Below are 22,409 nucleotides of genomic sequence, written 5' to 3'. Positions count from 1 at the left end.
AATGCTGTGTGTGAACATATTGGCTAAAATTAAAGGGGTAATACCATCCTGGCTAACGCAGTGAAACCCTGTCTACTAAAAATATAAAAAATTAGCTGGGTGTGGTGGCAGGCGTCTGTAGTCACAGCTACTCGGGAGGCTGAGGCAGGAGAATGGCTTGAACCCGGGAGGCAGAGGTTGCAGTGAGCCAAGATTGTGCCACTGCACTCCAGCCTGGGCGACACAGCGAGACTCCGTCACAAAAAAAAAAAAAAAAAAAAAATTAAAAATTAAAGGGGTATTATTCAGTTTTTGCACTCAATTCAGTAAATTCAGTAACTTGGACATTGGAATAAAAGCACAACAGGTTTTTCTTAAAGCAAAAACCTGCTTATTATCTGCTCTTTAACAAAAATGTGTAAAGCGTTATAAAAGGTTTATGAAAATCTTACCTTATCAAACTGATTAAGATTGAATACATTTGTCTATAAGGTTGCATTAAGAATTGGGTTTGACATCAATAATATACTAATGTGAAGGTGAAATTTGGTGTATTTGGTTTAAAAGTCTTACAGGAAGCATTGTCAAATATGAAATGGTGTTTGGTTTTTGGGCTGTATTTGTATAAATATGTTACTGGTATGTGTTCCAAAATTATTTAAAAAACTATAATTCTAATATGATTTAGTGTTATTAATAATTATAATTGTTACATAAAATTTTGTATGCCACAGAAACAACCAAATTTGTCAATTGTGTTTTTGACTGTGGCTGTCCTAAGACATTTTCTCATCCACAGACAATTGTTGTCTTGATTTAGTCCTCTTTCGAAGATGGTTTTAAAATCAACTGTAGGACTTCAACAAGTGCACTTAAATGCAGGTTTTCTGATAACTTTAGAAACTGTGACATCAAGATAGAGGAAAAAACTTTCAGGACTCTCATAGAGAGCTGAAGTGTTCATAAATATCAAGCAGAACAGGAGTTAACTAAATTAACTGAACCAATAAAAAAATTGAAGTAGTCTTTTTAACTTTTTGCTTAAAACGATGCTGATCTTAGGCTGGGCGTGGTGGCTCACTTCTGTAATCCCAGCACTTTGGGAGGCCAAGGAGGGCGGATCACAAGGTCAGGAGATTGAGTCCATCCTGGCTAACATGGTAAAACCCTGTCTCAGTATACTAAAAATACAAAAAATTAGCCTGACATGGTGGCGGGCGCCTGTAGTCCCAGCTACTCGGGAGGCAGAGGCAGGAGAATTGTGTGAACCCAGGAGGTGGAGTTTGCAGTGAGCCGAGATCGTACCACTGCACTCCAGCCTGGGTGACAGAGTGAGACTCCGTCTCAAAAAAAAAAAAAAAAAAAATAGGTGATGGAGGTTCCAAGATGGCCAAATAGGAATAGGTCCAGTCTACAGCTCCCAGCATGAGCAACACAGAAGACGGGTGATTTCTGCATTTCCAACTGAGCTTTGAAGAGAGTAGTGGTTCTCCCAGCACGGAGTTTGAGATCTGAGAAGGGACAGACTGCGTCCTCAGGCGGGTCTCTGACCCCTGAGTAGCCTAACTGGAAGGCATCTCCCAGCACGGGCTGACTGACACTTCACACGGCTGGGTGCCCCCTGAGACAAAGCTTCCAGAGGAACGATCAGGCAGCAACAATGGCTGTTCTGCAATATTTGCTGTTCTGCAGCCTTCACTGGTGATACCCAGGCAAACAGGGTCTGGAGTGGACCTCCAGCAAACTCCAACAGACCTGCAGCTGAGGGTCCTGACTGTTAGAAGGAAAACTAACAAACAGAAAGGACATCCACACCAAAACCCCATCTGTACATCACCATCATCAAAGACCAAAGGTAGATAAAACCACAAAGATGAGGAGAAACCACAGTAGAAAAGCTGAAAATTCTAAAAATCAGAGCACTTCTTCTCCTCCAAAGGAATGCAGCTCCTCGCCAGCAACAGAACAAAGCTGGACGGAGAATGACTTTGACGAGTTGAGAGAAGGCTTCAGAGGATCAAACTTTTCCGAGCTAAAGGAGGATGTTCAAACCCATCGCAAAGAAGCTAAAAACCTTGAAAAAAGATTAGATGAATGGCTAACTAGAATAACCAGTGTAGAGAAGACCTTAAATGACCTGAAGGAGCTGAAAACCATGGCACAAGAACTACATGACGCATGCAAAAGCTTCAGTAGCCGATTCAATCAAGTGGGAGAAAGGGTATCAGTGATTGAAGATCAAATGAATGAAATGAAGTAAGAAGAGAAGTTTAGAAAAAAAAGAGTAACAAGAAATGAGCAAAGCCTCCAAGAAATATGGGACTATGTGAAAAGACCAAATCTACATCTGATTGGTGTACCTGAAAGTGATGGGGAGAATGGAACGAAGCTGGAAAACACTCTTCAGGATATTATCCAGGGGAACTTCCCTAACTTAGCAAGGCAGGCCAACATTCAAATTCAGGAAATACAGAGAATGCCACTCCTCGATAAAGATGCTCCTCGAGAAGAGCAATTCCAAGACACATAATTGTCAGATTCACCAAAGTTGAAATGAAGGAAAAAATGTTAAGGGCAGCCAGAGAGAAAGGTCGTGTTACCCACAAAGGGAAGCCCATCAGACTAACAGCAGATCTCTTGGCAGAAACTCTACAAGCCAGAAGAGAGTGGGGGCCAATATTCAACATTCTTAAAGAAAAGAATTTTCAACCCAGAATTTCATATCCAGCCAAACTAAGGTTCATAAGTGAAGGAGAAATAAAATCCTTTACAGACAAGCAAATGCTGAGAGATTTTGTCACCACCAGGCCTGCCTTACAAGAGCTCCTGAAGGAAGCGCTAAACATGGAAAGGAACAATTGGTACCAGCCACTGCAAAAACATGCCAAATTGTAAAGACCATTGATGCTAGGAAGAAACTGCATCAACTAATGAGCAAATAACCAGCTAACATCATAATGACAGCATCAAATTCACACATAACAATATTAACCTTAAATGTAAATGGGCCAAATGCTCCAATTAAAAGACACAGACTGGCAAATTGGATAAAGAGTCAAGACCCATCAGTGTGCTGTATTCAGGAGACCCATCTTATGTGCAGAGACATACATAGGCTCAAAATAAAGGGATGGAGGAAGATCTACCAAGCAAATGGAAAACAAAAAAAAAAAATCAGGGGTTGCAATCCTAGTCTCTGATAAAACAGACTTTAAAACAACAAAGATCAAGAGACAAGGCCATTACATAATGGTAAAGGGATCAATTCAACAAGAAGAGCTAACTATCCTAAATATATGTGCATCCAATACAGGAGCACCCAGATTCATAAAGCAAGTCCTTAGTCTAAGTCTACAAAGAGACCTAGACTCCCACACAATAATAATGGGAGACTTTAATACCCCACTGTCAATATTAGACAGATCAATGAGACAGAAAGTTAACAAGGATACCCAGGACTTGAACTCAGCTCTGCACCAAGCGGACCTAATAGACATCTACAGAACTCTCCACCCCAAATCAACAGAATATACATTCTTCTCAGCACCACATCACACTTATTCCAAAATTGACCACATAGTTGGAAGTAAAGCACTCCTCAGCAAATGGAAAAGAACAGAAATTATAACAAACTGTATCTCAGACCACAGTGCAATCAAACTAGAACTCAGGATTAAGAAACTCACTCAAAACCACTCAACTGCATGGAAACTGAACAACCTGCTCCTGAATGACTACTGGGTACATAATGAAATGAAGGCAGAAATAAAGATGTTCTTTGAAACCAGTGAGAACAAAGACACAACATACCAGAATCTCTGGGACACATTTAAAGCAGTGTGTAGAGGGAAATTTATAGCACTAAATGCCCACAAGAGAAAGCCGGAAAGACCCAAAATTGACACCCTAACATCACAATTAAAAGAACTAGAGAAGTAAGAGCAAACATATTCAAAAGCTAGCAGAAGGCAAGAAATAACTAAGATCAGAGCAAAACTGAAGGAGATAGAGACACAAAAAACCCTTCAAAAAATCAATGAATTCAGGAGCTGGTTTTTTGAAAAGATCAACAAAATTCATAGACCACTAGCAAGACTAATAAAGAAGAAAAGAGAGAAGAATCAAATAGACGCAATAAAAAATGATAAAGGGGACATCACCACTGATCCCACAGAAATACAAACTACCATCAGAAAATACTGTAAACACCTCTAAGCAAATAAACTAGAAAATCTAGAAGAAATGGATAAATTCCTCGACACATACACCCTCCCAATACTAAACCAGGAAGATGTTGAATCTCTGAATAGACCAATAACAGGCTCTGAAATTGAGGCAGTAATTAATAGCCTACCAACCAAAAAAAGGCCAGGACCGGACGGATTCACAGCCGAATTCTACCAGAGGTACAAGGAGGAGCTCGTACTATTCCTTCTGAAACTATTCCAATCAATAGAAAAAGAGGGAATCCTCCTTAACTCATTTTATGAGGCCAGCATCATCCTGCTACCAAAGCCTGGCAGAGACACAACAAAAAAAAGAGAATTTTAGACCAATATCCCTGATGAACATCGATGCAAAAATCCTCAATAAAATACTGGCAAACTGAATCCAGCAGCACATCAAAAAGCTTATCCACCATGATCAAGTGGGCTTCATCCCTGGGATGCAAGGCTGGTTCAACATGCGCAAATCAACAAACGTAATCCATCACATAAACAGAACCAAATACAAAAACCACATGATTATCTCAATAGATGCAGAAAAGGCCTTCGACAAAATTCAACAGCCCTTCATGCTAAAAACTCTCAATAAATTAGGTATTGATGGGACATATCTCAAAATAATAAGAGCTATTTATGACAAACCCACAGCCAGTATCATACTGAATGGGCAAAAACTGGAAGCATTCCCTTTGAAAACTGGCACAAGACAGGGATGCCCTCTCTCACCACTCCTATTCAACATAGTGTTGGAAGTTCTGGCCAGGGCAATCAGGCAGGAGAAACAAATAAAGGGTATTCAATTAGGAAAAGAGGAAGTCAAATTGTCCCTGTTTGCAGATGACGTGATTGTATATTTAGAAAACCCCGTCATCTCAGCCCAAAATCTCCTTAAGCTGATAAGCAACTTCAGCAAAGTCTCAGGATACAAAATCAATGTGCAAAAATCATAAGCATTCCTATACACCAATAACAGACAAACAGAGAGCCATATCATGAGTGAACTCCCATTCACAATTGTTTCAAAGAGAATAAAATACCTAGGAATCCAACTTACAAGGGATGTGAAGGACCTCTTCAAAGAGAACTACAAACCACTGCTCAACGAAATAAAAGAGGACACAAACAAATGGAAGAACATTCCATGCTCATGGATAGGAAGAATCAATATCAAGAAAGTGGCCATACTGCCCAAGGTAATTTATAGATTCAATGCCATCCCCATCAAGCTACCAATGACTTTCTTCATACAATTGGAAAAAACTACTTTAAAGTTCATATGGAACCAAAAAAGAGCCCACATTGCCAAGACAATCCTAAGCCAAAAGAACAAAGCTGGAGGCATCATGCTACCTGACTTCAAACTGTACTACAAGGCTACAGTAACCAAAACAGCATGGTACTGGTACCAAAACAGAGATATAGAGCAATGGAACCGAACAGAGCCCTCAGAAATAATACCACTCATCTACAACCATCTGATCTTTGACAAACCTGACAAAAACAAGAAATGGGGAAAGGATTCCCTATTTAATAAATGGTGCTGGGAAAACTGACTAGCCATATGTAGAAAGCTGAAACTGGATCCCTTCCTAACACCTTATACAAAAATTAATTCAAGATGGATTAAAGACTTAAATGTTAGACCTAACACCATAAAAACCCTAGAAGAAAACCTAGGCAATACCATTCAGGACATAGGCATGGGCAAGGACTTCATGACTAAAACACCAAAAGCAATGGCAACAAGAGCCAACATTGACAAATGGGATCTAATTAAACTAAAGAGCTTCTGCCCAGCAAAAGAAACTACCATCAGAGTGAACAGGCAACCTACAGAATGGGAGAAAATTTTTGCAATCTACCCATCTGACAAAGGGCTAATATCCAGAATCTACAAAGAACTTAAACAAATTTACAAGAAAAAATCAAACAACTCCATCAAAAAGTGGGCAAAGGATATGAACAGACACTTCTCAAAAGAAGACATTTATTGCAGCCAACAGACACATGAAAAAATGCTCATCATCACTGGTCATCGGAGAAATGCAAATCAAAACCACAATGAGATACCATCTCACACAAGTTAGAATGGCGATCATTAAAAAGTCAGGAAACAACAGGTGCTGGAGAGGATGTGGAGAAATAGGAACACTTTTACACTGTTAGTGGGAGTGTAAACTAGTTCAACCATTGTGGAAGACAGTGTGGCAATTCCTCAAGGATCTAGAACTAGAAATACCATTTGACCCAGCCATCCCATTACTGGGTATATACCCAAAGGATTTTAAATCACACTGCTATAAAGACACATGCACGTGTACATTTATTGTGGCACTATTCACAATAGCAAAGACTTGGAACCAACCCAAATGTCCATCAATGATAGACTGGATTAAGAAAATGTGGCACATATACACCATGGAATACTATGCAGCCATAAAAAAGGATGAGTTCATGTCCTTTGTAGGGACAGGGATGAAGCTGGAAACCATCATTCTCAGCAAACTATCGCAAGGACAGAAAACCAAACACCGCATGTTCTCACTCATAGGTGGGAATTGAACAATGAGAACACTTGGACACAGGATGGGGAACATCACACACCGGGGTCTGTCGTGGGATTGGGGGAGGGGGAGGGATAGCATTAGGAGATATACCTAATATAAATGACAAGTTAATGGGTGCAGCACACCAACATGGCACATGTGTACATATGTAACAAACCTGCACGTTGTGCACATGTACCCTATAACTTAAAGTAAAATAAAAAATAAAAAAGTTACTGATCCTTTGTTTTGTTTTGCAGAGTTAAGAAAACTTTTCTTTTAAGCTATTTATAGCTTTCAACAATTGAGTAAAGTATACCCCTGTGGACAAAATTTGGAGCCTATTTGTTTCTCCTACCTGATTTCTCCAGAATTTGGAAACTATTTCTAACTATTCTAAATTTATGGCAATATAGTTATTTGCATAAGTGCAATAAGAATCTGTTTTCTTTTGCAACAGGACACAGTTGGAAAAATTGGTTATTTTACCAAGACTGTCCGGAATGGCATGCTTTCCTTTAAGAACTCAAATTTGACTTATAGAGCCAATAAAAGCCCCTTGGGGAACTAGCCTCATACCTCGCCTACAACAGTCCCTGTACAAGGTTTCTGACCTGTTGTAAGTAAAGAATGTCACTTTTGAACAGGTCCAGGAGCCCCAGGTTATCTTGGGACCCCAAGAGGAGAGGAATTTACTCAACTCTTAGATATTTGAGGGCACAAACCCATGGCTGGCCTTGGCTTTAAAAAAGTCTTATCTGAGATTCCTTCTATGAAACAGTTCCATCAAAGCCAATTTACAAAAAGCCTATGTGAAAAAATAATTATTCCTGCTGCACTTTATACAAATAATCAGACAAAGCATAATAAAGCAAATCAGTCTTACCATAATTTGTCTTTAGTAAATATGGGAAACTGGAGAGAAAAATTATGTTTCAAAAACTATGGTACAGTTGTTATTAGATTCTAGTATCATCAATTGTTTTTAAGATTGTTTCTGCAATTTAGGCTAACATTGTTTATTCCTGTGAACCAACCAGTGATCTCTGGCTGCTGCTCAGATGGGTGATGTAAAAACCTGGATCAATATTCTAATCCTGGGCACACAGTGGAATCTTCTAGCAACCCCATATCAGCTTGGTTCCAACAGTTGCCTAGTTCATGGAAAGCCTTCTAATTTAGTTTGCCTGGAATAATTTTACTTATTTTGCTTTACTGTTGTGAAATATATTGCTGTTGTACTCTTTGTGTAGGGATGCAGGATAAGTTTACTGAATGTTTTCTTAAGTTGAACACTTATTAATCTTCCAGATATCACCTTTTGTCAGAATTCGGAGTTTTGAATGGCCCTCGCCATACCAACACTTTCTGACTGAGCTCCTCTCTACCCTAAACACAAAAGACTCTAATAGTTAGGCAGGAACATAATTGCCCCTATTCAGCCTGAAGAAGTTGCAGAAGATGGATCTTCATCCCTCTGCAACCCTTAGGATTAAGGGTTCTCCTATAAAAGGGATGGGGGAAATGTCAGAGGCGTGTAAACCAGAACAACTCCATCTTAAATAGGAGCTGGCTAAACTAAGGCTGAAACCTACTGGGCTGCATTCCCAGATGGTTAAGGCATTCTAAATCACAGGATGAGACTGAAGGTCAACACAAGATCAGATCATAAAGACCTTGCTGATAAAATAGGCTGCAGTAAAGAAGCCAGCTAAAACCCACCAAAACCAAGATGGTGATGAGAGTGTCCTCTGGTCGTCCTCACTGCTACACTCCCACCGGTGCCATGACAGTTTACAAACACCATGGCAACATCAGGAAGTTGCCCTATATGGTCTAAGAAGGGGAGGCATAAATAATCCACCCCTTGTTTAGCATATCATCAAGAAATAACCATAAAAATGGGCAACCAGATGCCCTTGGGGTGGCTCTGTCTAGAGTAGCCATTCTTTTATTCCTTTACTTTCTTAATAAACTTGCTTTCCCTTTACTCTATGGACTCACCCTGAATTCTTTCTTGCATGAGATCCAAGAACCCTCTCTTGGGGTCCGGATCGGGGCCCCTTTCGTGTAACCACTTCTTCAATGAAAGAGTTCTGCATTGTGAATTGAAAACCAAAAACAACATTCTAAGCCACCCCCAGCCATCTGAATGGACTTCCTCATCTGCTGGTGTGCTCTAAAATTTAACCTGAAAGACTGGTTCAGGCCTTGACGGGAAGTGAGGGTCTGACGTGCCTTTTTATACCCTCCAGCATTAACATCAAGGCAGACCTTAAGTCTGATAAGAAATATTTACAATTTATTCTCTCTGAAACCTGCTATCTGGAGGCTTCATCTGCATGATAAAAGTTTGATCTCCACAACCTCTTATCATAACCTAGACAATTCCTCTCTATGGATAATAACTCAACCAATTGCCAATCAGAAAAGTTTTAAATCTACCTATAACCTGGAAGTTTGGAGTTGTGCTGCCTTTCTGGACTGAACCAATGTATATCTTAAATGTATTTGATTGATATCTCATGTCTCCCTAAAATGTATAAAGCCAAGCTGCACCCCTACCAACTTGAGCACGTGTTCTCAGGATCTCCTGAGGGCTGTGTCACCAGCCATAGTTACTCATACTTGGCTCAGAATAACTCTCTTCAAATATTTTACAGAGTTTGACCCTTTTCATGGACTGAATTCATCCAGGTAGAAATTGGGTGAAATGCTGTAACTTAATTTGGGAGTAATGAAAATTAGGTATTATTCACCAGACCTATTTTATAAAAAAATTGCAAATCAAGTAGGGCTTTAGAAGGCTGCCCTTGTCTTTCAATCCCAGGAATCCCATGAAGAATAAACCAACATCAAAGATCTCTTTAGAGCAGATCCTTCTGATTACCATATGGCCCAGAGCCTATTCAGGAGCCTCACTCACTTTGCCTCTGGCAATTAATTCCAGAACTTGGCCTGTGCCATCCCCCCCGCACCTTTCCATCCCCATCCCTGGTTGATTTAACTTCAATCATTATCTTATATACACTAATTATCTTTACCTATACTACTAATTACTTACTGCTAATTAACTTAACCTAGGACAGAAGCCAGAATTTACTAAAGTTCTTGCAAAGAGCTGCAATAACATTGTTAGGAAAAAGCTTTTCTCTAGTTTCTCATCAAATGAACACCTCTCTGCAAAGAACATCACATACTTTTAATTACTCTACCAATACAACTTTTAAGGCAGAGATTTGCTTTAAATTCATGTCAAGGTCATCAAATGAAATTCTGAAGAGCTATCTTGAACATTTTGTAATAATCTATTCTGACTAGAAAGGAGTTTAAGGACCTTTTTAAATTCTTGCAAACACCATTCTCATTTTATTATTTGAATGAATGTGCCTGGGGCAAACTTACCTAGTTTAAAAAAAAAAAAAATCCCTAGCAGATACTTCCAAGCAACCTGTTTCTTTCCTGCACTGGGTCTACATTTTTCACAAAGTTCCTCATCTTTAGAATGTGTTTGCTCTTGGTCTTTCCTGAAGAAATGTCTTATTCAGCATTTATTGCTTCTTCCATTCCAGAGGTGGGGAGATGCACTGGCCATATGGAAAGAGAGATCAGTAATTTCTGGTGCTTAACGTATACTACATTTGAGACGGGCTCAAGATTTAAAGGAATGAGCCAGCTTGGAGTTACTAACTGTGGAGTCAAAAGTGGTTTCATCAGATTGCATTTGAATTTCTAATTCCAGCCCTTCGCTTTCTCCCTGACTCTCCATTCTCAAATGGCAAGGCTGAGAGAATCCCCAGTGCATTCCATCTCTTCAGACCTGAGAAACATCATTCAGAGGAATTATCGCTGTGTCTCTCATCACAGTTCTGTCCATTTGGAAAATGGCACAGAGTTCAGGGAGTAGCTTCAACATGGGCCTGAGCCTTTCTCCAACATTTCCAAACACTTCTATTTCTTTTGTGGCTTACTCTCTATTTTGCACTTTTATCTCAGCTCTTGCTGAAGGTTGCGCCTGACCCCAAATTCATTGCCCCTCACCAAGATGACTCACTGAGAGCTGCTCTGAGGAGCAGCATGACAGAGTGGAAAGAATGGATTCTGGAGCTATAGCTGCACTCAAACCCTGGCTCTGCATTTACTGGCTCTGAGACTTTGACCACATCTCTCGCCTCTGTGAACACCAGTTTCCTCATCTGGAAATGAAGTGCATCAGTCCTACGTCAGAGGGTTATTATCAGAATTAGAATAAATATATGTAAATTCAAGGGAATCTCTGAAGAGATAATTCTAACCTTCCAACCACAGGAGCACATTTACTATTAGGTCTGACCTTGTTTTGCTTTTACCCTTCCTAGTTTCAGCTGGGCCTCAAAAGCAAAAAGGCCAAGATCCAACAAGAAAATCTGTTTCTGCTGTATTCTCTTGGCTGCCTAGGAAGACTCTTTTGGCAGGCTTTCTGGTGATCTGTCCAAGCCTGGGGCCTCTCTTCCCTGGAGTTTCCATCACCTTGTTTAGAGGAGAAGAAACTCTAAGCATCATTATGCAGTGCCTGAGAGGCAGTTGCTCTCTTTCTTAATCTGAATTCCTTTAGTCCTTTATTTCCCTCTTTGTCTCCCAAAGAAACCAATCTGCACACTGTGGGACATAGAATAATATTTATTACAAGGATGACAATAATAATAGCAGCCTCTATTTATTGCCTGCTTCCTATTGTCAGACATGAGAGACCAAGCACATTATATATTATCTCAATTATTATATAATAGAAATGGCAAATATTAATGCAGTATAAAAACATTAAAAGGGGTAAAAATGGTATTTCATATTGATAAAATGTACAATCCACCAAGAAACTATATTAGTCATGAACTTCCATGCACCTAACAATATAGTTTCAAAAAAATATGAAGAGAAAAGATTCTAGCATTTTACAAGGAGAAATCGACAGAATGACTATCATGTTAAAAGTTAACACACTTCTCTATAAAAGATATCGAAAACACAAAATTAAGCATAGCAAGAGTTAATAACATGGTAACAAGTTATATAGAAATTTGCACTCAACAGAGATTACACATTGTTCAGAAACATGTGGAAAGAGTTACAACTAACCATGTATTAGGCCATAAAGAAAATGTTCATAAACAAAAAGCAGCATTCATACAAGTATATTTATTGAAAAAATGCAAAAAACTTAGAAATTAACAACAAAAGGATAGCAAAAAAAATTGATCTAATTAGAACATTTAAATGCCTTTTTATAAATGTTTATTGCATGTATCAGTCAGGGTTTAATCAAAGATATTGACCCCTTAAGAAATATATAAATGTGTTATAGAGATTTTACCTTATGCAGTTGTGGTTGCTGGTTGAATACTAGTCTCTGTAAGGGTATTGTCATTGCATCTGATGCTGGAGCTGGAAGTCCTCAGGGCAGGCAGTCAAGATGTAAAATAGGGAGAGCAAGAACAAGCTGGAACCCATAAGCACAAGCTTGAGCCAATAAGACAGGCAAAAACCTGTGTTTGTACTTGTTGCCTCTGACCTTGGTCATGCAGAAGCCAGGGCCCTTTGTCATGAAATTAGGCGCACACACACACACACACACACACACACACACACACACAGATACACACACACACACTCCTGGCCCAAGAGTCAGAGAAGCTGAAGGAGGATCCAGGGGAAGATGGAGCAGTTCCAGTCCTGGCCACTGCCCACACCAACAAGGAAACAGACAAGGTATGTGTGTTTCAAAATGGCTGTTGCTTCATTTACAGTCTCCAAATCCCCCAGGGGAATCTCTCTTGTAATACAGCCTAACTGGAAACATTCAAGAAAGGGAATTCTGGGAAATGTAGTTCAGCCTAGTCAAGGCAACACGTTACAAAGCCACTTCAGTCTGTTCTTTGCCAAGTTTGCAGGCATACATATCTCCATAGTTAACCTCCAAATAAAGGAAATAATAAAGTCATGCTTCTGCCTAACATAATACAATTATCGCCATGCAACCAAAAATATGGTCACTCAGGGGTCAGAGACTTTTTCTTAAAGAGCCAGATAGCAAATATTTTAGGTTTTATAGGTCACATAGTTTCTGTTGCAACTATTCAATGCTAGCATTGTATCATGAAAGCAGCCATAGAAAATGCATAAGTGAATGAATATGACTGTGTTCCAAGAAAAACTTTTTTATAAAAATAGATGACCAGCTCATGAGCCATAGTTTGTTGAGCCCTGCGTTAATTCTTTTATGTAAAGAGAATAAAAAGTCCTCTTTTTGATTTGGGTGATCTTTTATTCTTCTCCTAATTGATTCACATGTCACTTTTTGATATCTTGTAACTTAAGTATTGAGAAAAAAGTTAACTTAGCATATATTATATTAGATAAGGAGATGAGAAGGAAGGAAGAAAACAAAAATATTTGGTTAATATATACATAATATGCACATCGAAGTAAGTATTCACAACAATCGTAGTCCTCTTTTCTGCAATGTTCATGTGGTCATAGCTGGTATTTATAACTGCCTTCTTCTACTAAGCATTCATATTTCCTTATCAAGCCCTGTAACTAGTCACAGTTCCTTATCTGTTTCCAAATTTATTCCTAAAAGGTCTGACCATTAACAGTTCTGCTTGAATTGGAGGTTGTTGTAGTTTTACACTGACTTAATAATCACAAAATATGAGTATACTAAAAGTTTCCCTAGAGGGTCTCCTGCATTCTAGACATAGCCATTCATTCCATGGTAACAATTTAATTTTCCCTTGATAGTCAAGATCAGTCAACACAGCCAGTATAGTAACCCCTTTCTTGATATGCCATTCATTCAGTGGCATTAGGAGCTCAAAGTGGCCAAGTGGCAGTCTTCTCAACTGAGTGTTCAATGGAATCATTGTGTCCCTGGTGGAAGCATTTCTTCCTTTGGAACTAAGACTTCTAGAGCAGTAGAGCCTAAAATTTTGGGGATGAAAAAAAAATTGTGCTAGTGGATCACTAGGGATGATCATGAGAACAACAACTTCCATTTCCACCTTTTGCTTCCTAGACTTGTAAAGCTTGCCATGGTAGAAATAGCACTATAGAATGGATATTGATTTAGAACATTAACCACAACCTGAAGGACCTTGACCCAGTCCCACAAGGTGTTGCCACCCAGCTAGTGTGATAACTGAGCCTTTCAAAGACTATTCTACCATTTTAACACATCGATTGCTTCAGAATAATGGGTAACATGGGTAACATGGTACAGAAATAACTTCTGTAGTCTGGGAAAATGCTGATGTTACACTTGGCTGCCCAGAGAACAGTTTCAGTTCCCACTGGCCACCTAGAAATATGAGGCAGCTTGCAAGTGTAGAATGATCATTTTCTTTATGGAGTTGAAATAAATCTCAGGTCACAAATTAAGGATTGAAAGAAATTAACTTTATTTTTTAATAACCAAACATAATTTACTTTATGAGCCTCATTCCATATAGTAGTAGAAACCTAGTGAGTCAATCCAGGGACCTATCTTTGGGATTACATGAGTTTATGGCATAGGAAGGGAGGCACCGTCATCTCTCTGTAACTGCATGTGTTGAGATGTCCATCATTTAGCTGGGCCTTGGTCCCAGAGCCCTTCTCAGCCTCTTGCTCCTGACCACTAGGTCTCTCCAGGCTGGCTCTACCTTGAGTACTTCTGTGCCCCTCTCAGAGATAGAGGAAACACTCAACTCTGCTTCTATCCTACCTGGACAGGAAAATTCTACAAGTATTAAAACTTCCCTGAAAGCAAGATATAATCTTCCTCTTCTCCTAAATCCCTATTCCCATCTGGGGAAGATCTTGCTTCCTTCATACTCCTCAGGAATTGACCTGGGGGCAAGCCATATGACCCCTGCTGAGGAACAAAAAACTGGTCCTGCTTTCTCTCAGATGCTCCTCTTATTCCTCCCCCAGTTCTGGACACTTTATCTAATCTCAGATAGAAAGGAGGGAGAAAGAACTATCTTTGATTAATCAAGTATTATTCTTAATGTTTTTGCCTTCTTTCTGGACCTAAGCTTTTAAAACTCAAAAGGTAAAATTTCACTCTTTTGTTCTCCGATTTTTCTGCAACAACCTTTCCTAAGACAATCTATATCTCAAGAATGAGGGAAGGGCTGTAAGATAAATAAAAAGAATCATAGGGAACTTATATCAGTTAATATCAAAGTACTATTCTGTTACAATTAAACATATTATATCCTTATATAAAATTTGTTTCATTTTATTTTAATTTATTTTAATTTTTTAGACACAGGGTCTCACTCTGTTGTCCAGACTGGAGTGCAGTGGAGTTGATCATAGTTTACTGTAACCTCATACTCCAGGGCTCAAGAGATCCTCCCGGCTCGACCTTCCAAAGTGCTAGGATTATAGGTGTGAGCCACTGTGCCCAGCCGAAATCTGTTTATTTAAAAGAAATCATAGTCCTTAATTTTCCTTCAGTTCTACCCAAAGCAGAAAACTGCCTAGCAGTGCTCTAAGTTTCCTTGATGTGAAGAAAGTCCGAGACACGGTCCTCAACCTTATAGGTTGAATTGTGTCTCCCAGAAAGAAATGTGAAAGTCCTAACTCCCGGCCGGGCGCGGTGGCTCACCCCTGTAATCCCAGCACTTTGGGAGGCCAAGGCGGGCGGATCACGAGGTCAGGAGATCGAGACCATCCTGGCTAACACGGTGAAACCCTATCTCTACTAAAAATACAAAAAAAAAATTAGCTGGGCGTGGTGGCTGGCGCCTGTAGCCCACCTACTCGGGAGGCTGAGGCAGGAGAATGGCGTGAACCCGGGAGGCGGAGCTTGCAGCGAGCCGAGATCGCGCCACTGCACGCCAGCCTGGGCGACAGAGCGAGACTTCGTCTCAAAAAAAAAAAAAAAAAAAAAAAAAAAAAAAAAAAAAAGTCCTAACTCCCAGTGCCTCGGAATGTGACCTTATTTAACAATAGGGTTACTGAAGATGTGTTAGTTAAGAACAAGTCATACTGGAGTAGGGTGAGTCCCTAATCCAATATAACCAACTGGTGTCCTTATAAGAAGAGGAGAAAAGGTGCAGAGACAAAGAGGAAGAAGATAGCTATGTGACAACAGAGGAAGACTTTGGAATGACGTACGTATCAGCCAAGGAATGCCAAGGATTCCAGCAAACACAGAAGCTAAATGAGTCAAAGCAGAATTCTTCCCCATAGGTTTCATAGGAAAATGTAGCTTTAGACTTGACATAACTGGTCCAATAAAGTAAATATGCCGGTCCCTGAGTAGTCTTTCTTGCTGATGGAAGAAAAACATAGCCCTGTTGACACCTTGATTTTGAACTTCCAGCCTCCAGAACTGTGAGACAGTAAATTTATGTTAAGCCACCCAGTTTGTGGTACTTTGTTGTGGCAGCCCTCAGAAACTAACTGAGGATTTAAAAACTGAGACATAACAAAGCAGTTACAGAATAATGCACAAAATAATGCCATGTTAAACTATGTGGCACTAAGACCTGCAGAGGAATTCCAGAGACTCCCAGGAACAGCCTGATTTCCATCTCCAGACTCACGCCCAGTCCTCAAGGGTGACTGGTTTTTGTTCACTGCATTGACACAAAGTTTAAGATATCTCTCCGGCCTCTTGTACTCCATGCTCTGGGATCTCCCAATACAAAGCCTGTAATTAAAGGCCACGCTTCTTAGGGGAAGTGACTCTTGTTTTGAGCACAAATGCCACAGACTACTGGGATAAACAAGAAAACCCCTCATATCTAGGGAAGTTATGCTTGCTATGACTGTCAGCCCCAGGATAGGGCCAACCACATGGCTCTGAGCTTTCCTCAGCTAAAGCCTCAATCAGTGGAAGAACCCTTCCCTTTTTTGGAACACTCCTTAAAGTGGGACCTATTTTAAATCTTTGCTTGCCTGAAATCTTGCTGATTAGATTATAATAGTGGATCCTATACGTCCTACCTGATTTGGTTCTATTGAGTCCTCATCTACTCTTTGGGGCCATTTGACATGGGCCACTGAATCAGTTGTCTCTACTGGGGCTTCAATGCCCATCAAATACATAACTAATACATTCTCTTCCATATTTACAGGATTGACCATTCAGCATTTTCTGTTGTCAGAGAAGGAAGCAAGAAATAAGGAAGGAAATTGGGCTCAAAGAACAGAATGGTAAAGGCAGAATAAGAAGTCAAGTTACAGGTTTAAAAGAGGCTAAAGGAAATAAAAATTGGCTGGGCTTCAGGCTAGTCAGGGTCATCCTTTTCTGCTCACTTTCCTTCATCGCCTACTACATCCAAATAATCAGCAGGTCTTATCCATTTTATGTCCAAGACACATTTCAATCTATCTTCTTTTTCCTTTTTTTTTTTTTTTTTTTTTTTTTTTGCTTTTCATTAATCACAACTTCTTTAGACCAGGCAACCATTCATCTCTGCCCTGGACTACTACTTAAAACCTCCTAACTGACAAATCTTACTTCCATATAATTCATTATCTACAAAGCAACCACAGTAATCTCAAATCATGAAGAAACTGACTTCTCTTCCCTAATTAAAATCTTTAGCTTTTATTTTCAGCCAAAATGGAGTAACAGAGATAAGATCTACTCTCCTTCCCTAAGAGATGAGAAAAAATGAACAAAATATATAAAATAACTATTTCAGACAGGTAGTACAAGACTGTAGTCCCTGGAAGAAGGGAAACAAACAAGGTGAGCCCTACAATTGCAGGCAGTTTCTAGTTCATATTACTGGGAGGGGTAAACCAAACAGATCTCCATGAATTTCACAGATAGAGATCTAGCTAGGCAAGATTAAGATGGCTAGAATTTGTGGAGTAGAGTATTGGAGAAGATGTGAGCAGCATAGGGAGAGAGTGCACTCCGAAAGTCTGCAGAGAAATCTCATCAAGTCTCTCGCTGAGTATTGATCTATAACATGTGTAGAGAATCTACCCTAAGCCAGAGAAAGAACCAACTGAAAGGAGTAGGCAGAACAATTCATAGATCTTAAAATAGTTCATGCTCCTACTACTCAGAGTAAAAAGAACTCAGCAGCAAAAGAAACTATCACTAGAGCAAACAAACACCCCATAGAATGGGAGAAAATTTTTGCAATCTATCCAACTGACAAAGGTCTGATATCCAGAGTCTGCAAGGGACCTAAACAAATTTACAAGAAAACAACCACATTAAAAATAGGCAAAGGACATGAACAGACACTTCTCAAAAGAAGACATTCATGCAGCCAACAAAACTGAAAAAAAGCTCAACATCACTGATCATTAGAGAAATGCAACCCCAAACCACAATGAGATACCATCTTACCCAGTCAGAATGGCAATTATTAAAAAGTCAAGAAACAACAGATGCTGGCGAGGGTGAGGAGAAAAAGGAATGCTTTTACTCTGTTGGTGGGAATGTAAATTAGTTCAACCATTGTGGAAGACACTGTGGCGATTCCTCAAAGATCTAGAAGTAATCCCATTACTGAGTATATATACCCAAAGGAATATAAATCATTCTATTATAAACATACATGCATGCATATCTTCACTGCAGCACTATTAACAATAGCAAAGACGTGGAATCACCCCAGTGCCTACTGATGAAGACTAGATGGAGAAAATGTGGTACATAAACAGCATGGAATGCTCTGCAGATATAAAAAGGAATGCGATCATGGCCTTTACAGGGACATGGGTAGAGCTGGAAGTTGTTATCCTCAGCAAACTAACGCAGGAACAGAAAACCAAACACTGCATGTTCTCACTCGTAAGTGGGAGCTGAACGATGAGAACACATGAACAGATGGAGGGGCCTGTTGGAGGGGTGAGTGGAGGGAGAGCATCGGGAAGAATAGCTAATGGATGCTGTGCTTAATACCTAGGTGACGGTTGATCTGTGGAGCAAACCACCATGGCACATGTTTACCTACTATGTAACAAACCTGCACATCCTGCATATATACCGTGGAACTTAAAAGTTGAAAGAAAAAAAAAAAAAAGAACTCATAGTACATGAGGACTTGAGTAGAGTTCTTGAAAGGGCAACACCTTAACAGTAACGTTAAATTAGCTCTCGCCTAAAGGCTGCTCTAGATCTGCCTTAACAAAGCTTAAAGGTAAGCCTCAAAATAAGCCAAATGAAGCCAAGTAACAGCTGTGCACCAGAACAAAATCCATCGTAGTTACAGAGATAAAACAAAATCCAGCAACAAACAAGGTAAATACACAATGTCTGGCATCCAATTAAAAAATTGTCAAACATGTAGACAGGGCTTCTGGCTATAGCAGAATTAAGAGGTAGGTAAGTCCTCTTTTCACAAAACAAGTATAATCTGGACAAAATTGTCAAAAACAACTATTTCAGGACCCTGAAAAATGACCAAAGGGAAATAAATTATGAGGCATTTATTGATTTTTTTTTTAATTGCTGGGACCTCAGATCAGAACCTCAGGAATCTGTGGTCTTCCTGCCTGGGTCCACTCCCATTCTCCCATTCCCAGTTTAGTTGCTGAGAATGATAACCTTAAAAAGGTGAGGCAGATTGTAAAAATCAGAAGCTTTGCTGCCAGAGAGGGCAGACTAGACTTGGGACAGGAAGCAAAAGGCATTGGAAGCATGGCAGCATTGTCAGTCAAAAAAAAAAAAAAAAAAAAAAGCAAGTTTGGTAGGAAATGAAGAGGTAAAACTCACAACCCTGTTAGCCTGAGTTTCTGATCACAGTTGGGTCAATCAGTGAGAAAAGGTAGACAAGGAGATCCTAGAAATGCCATAGCCACAGATGATCTAGATTAGCCCTCCACCCATCCCTGACTGACTAGAAAACAATACACATACACAGGGAAAACCCAAGCGAGCCCCAGTGGAAAGAAAAAAGTCAAGGCACACTTGAGAACTAGCTGAACTTTGAATGTACCCACTCCTCAATCTACAGATAGATAGGCCAGCAGAAGGGTAAGTGAATGCCTGTGGACTCAAGGTGTTTAAGCAAAATCTCTGCTCAAATCATTGGCTGACCACTAAGCTATGCTGATACAGTGATGAACTCTAGTTAGCCTCGATAAAGAATAAAAATCAGAATAAAAAATCTGAGCAGAGACATCAGCAGTGGCCTGAAACCCACAGGGAAAAAAGATTCCACCATTTAAGTTCAAACAAATTTCTTTTTAATCAGGGGAAAAAATCAGAATGCAGAGTTGCTACAGTATAGCATTGACAAGAATTAGAAGAATGCAAGAAGACTGGGCTTGGTGGCTCACACCTATAATCCCAACACTTTGGGAGGCCAAGGTGGCTGGATCACTTGAGCCCAGCCTGGACAATATGGTGAAACCCCGTCTCTACAGAAAATACAAAAATGACCTGGGTATGGTGGCATGCACCTGTAGTCCCAGCTACTCGGGAGGTGGAGGCGGGAGGATCAATTGAGCCTGGGAGGTTAAGGCTGCAGTGAGCCCTGATCATGCCACTGCACTTCAGCCTGGGTGACAGAGCAAGATCCAGTCTCAAAAAAAAGGAAAGAGAGAAAGGGAAAAAGGGAGGAAGGGAGGAGGGGAGGAAAGGAAGAAAGGAGGAAAAAAAGGAAGAAAGGAAGGGAGAAAGAAAGAAGAAAGGAAGAAAGAGGAAGAAGATGAAAGAAGAAAGAAAGAGAAAGAAAGAGAAAGAGGAAAGAAAGAGAAAAAGAAAAGAGAAGAAAAAAGAAAGAAGAAGAAAAGAAAGAAAGAAAAGGAAAGGAAAGAAAAAAGAAAAAGACAAGACAAGGGAATGAGAAAATGTGGCCCACATTCAGGGGAAAAATAATCAATCAGTAGAAACTAACTTTATAGGCCCAGATACTGTATTGAGTAAAGCCTTCTAAGAAGACTTTGTAAATATATTCAAGTAATTAAAGAAAACATATTTAAAGAATTAAAAGAAAATATGAAAATGTCTAAAAATAACTCTCAATAAAAGAATAGTATCTATTAAAAAAGGAATCAAATGGAAATTCTAGAGTTGAGAAGTACAATAATTAAAATGAAAAATTCCCTAAATGGGCTCAACAACAAAATTGAATTAGCCGATGAGCAACTTGAAGACAGATTAACAGAAATTTTTTAATCTGAAGAATAAAAAGAAAAAAAAAATTGATGAAAAATTACCAGTCTCAAAGACCTGTGGGATAGCATCAAGCATAGCCATGTACCTGTGATAGGAGCACCAGAAGGTAAGGAGAGAGAGAAATATTCAGAAAAAACTTTTAAAGAAATAACTAACAATACTCTGAATTCTCCAGGATTGATTATAAATATTAATCTTCAAATCCAAGAAGTTCAACAAACCCCACGTACAATAAAATAAAAAAGATCCACCACTAGAAACATCATAGTAAAAAAAGTTGAAACCGCCGGGCACGGTGGCTCACGCCTGTAATCCCAGCACTTTGGGAGGCCGAGGCGGGTGGATCACGAGGTCAGGAGATCGAGACCATCCTGGCTAACACAGTGAAACCCCGTTTCTACTAAAAAAAAAAATACAAAAAATTAGCCGGGCATGGTGGCACGTGCCTGTAGTCCCAGGTACTCGGGAGGCTGAGACAGGAGAATGCCGTGAACCCGGGAGGCGGAGCTTGCAGTGAGCCGAGACCGCACCACTGCACTCCAGCCTGGGCTACAGAGCGAGACTCCGTCTCAAAAAAAAAAAAAAAAAAAAAAAAAAGTTGAAACCAAAGAAAACAAATCTTGAAATAAGTAATAGCAAAATGACTCATCTTTTACATGGGAAAAAAGGTATGATTAATAGTTGACTTCTCGTCAGACATAATGGAGGACAGAAGGCAGTAGACTGACATATTCAAAATGCTGAAAGAAAAACTTTTTAATCAAGAATTCTCTATCCATCAAAACTAAAAATAAGGATATTTCCAGATTATCAAAAACTCAGGGAATGTGTTGCTAACTGACCTTTCATACAAGAAATACCAAAGGAAGTCCTTCAGGCTAAAAGAAAATGATACCAGGTGGTAAATTAAATCCACAGGGCAAAGAGCACAGCAATAGTAAACATGTGCACAAATTAAAAAGATAAAGAAATATGATCTACAATAAATATATATAAATATATAAAATATAAAATATACATAAATATATTTTCTCTTTCTAAATTTCTTTGAAAATACAAGACTGTATAAAACAATAATTATAACACTATTACTGGGTTTATAACACATATAAATTAAAATGTATGACAATACTAGCACAAAGAAAAGAGGTGAAAATTGAGTTATATTTGAGCATAGTTGTTATATTTTCCTGAAATTAAATCAGTATTAATCTGAAGTAGATTGTGATAATTAAGATGTATTGTATAGCACATATATCTAGGTATATGTATGTGTATACATATCCTGTTTTCTGGAGAACCCAGCTAATACAGATGATGAAAGGCATATCATACTTACAGTAAACACAAGAAACTTAAGTGGTCAAATTAATATCAGACAAAACAAACACTCAGACAAGAAATATTACTAGAAAGGTTATTGTATTAGGATAAAATACATCAGTAAGAAGATACAAGAATTATAAAAGTATAAATGCACCTAATAATAGAGCTCTAAAATACTTGAAGCAAAAACTAACAGAATTGAAAGAAAAA

General features: G+C 39.2%; 1 long non-coding RNA gene across 1 annotated transcript in view, besides 2 other annotated features; it reads right to left on the bottom strand.

Moving 5' to 3' along the window:
* Positions 1-12,504, bottom strand: part of LOC124907765 (uncharacterized) — a 42,973-nt gene extending 30,469 nt beyond the window's left edge. Inside the window, exon 1 of the long non-coding RNA XR_007086314.1 lies at positions 12,102-12,504. This is a non-coding gene — a long non-coding RNA (uncharacterized LOC124907765). The remainder of the gene's footprint in view (positions 1-12,101) is intronic.
* Positions 11,819-12,342: an enhancer, noted in NCBI's record as "OCT4-NANOG-H3K27ac hESC enhancer chr2:48274663-48275186 (GRCh37/hg19 assembly coordinates)". NCBI's record gives its function as "activates a minimal SCP1, AML or CMV promoter by ChIP-STARR-seq in primed H9 embryonic stem cells {active_cell/tissue: H9 hESC(primed)}" and the evidence as "EXISTENCE:reporter gene assay evidence [ECO:0000049][PMID:30033119]".
* Positions 12,343-12,867: an enhancer, noted in NCBI's record as "OCT4-NANOG-H3K27ac hESC enhancer chr2:48274138-48274662 (GRCh37/hg19 assembly coordinates)". NCBI's record gives its function as "activates a minimal SCP1, AML or CMV promoter by ChIP-STARR-seq in primed H9 embryonic stem cells {active_cell/tissue: H9 hESC(primed)}" and the evidence as "EXISTENCE:reporter gene assay evidence [ECO:0000049][PMID:30033119]".

This window comes from Homo sapiens, chromosome 2 (assembly GCF_000001405.40).
Source record: "Homo sapiens chromosome 2, GRCh38.p14 Primary Assembly".
NCBI classification, from domain to species: Eukaryota; Metazoa; Chordata; class Mammalia; order Primates; family Hominidae; genus Homo; species Homo sapiens.
Note: the sequence above shows the minus strand (reverse complement) of the source record. Positions and strands in the feature narration are given on the sequence as shown.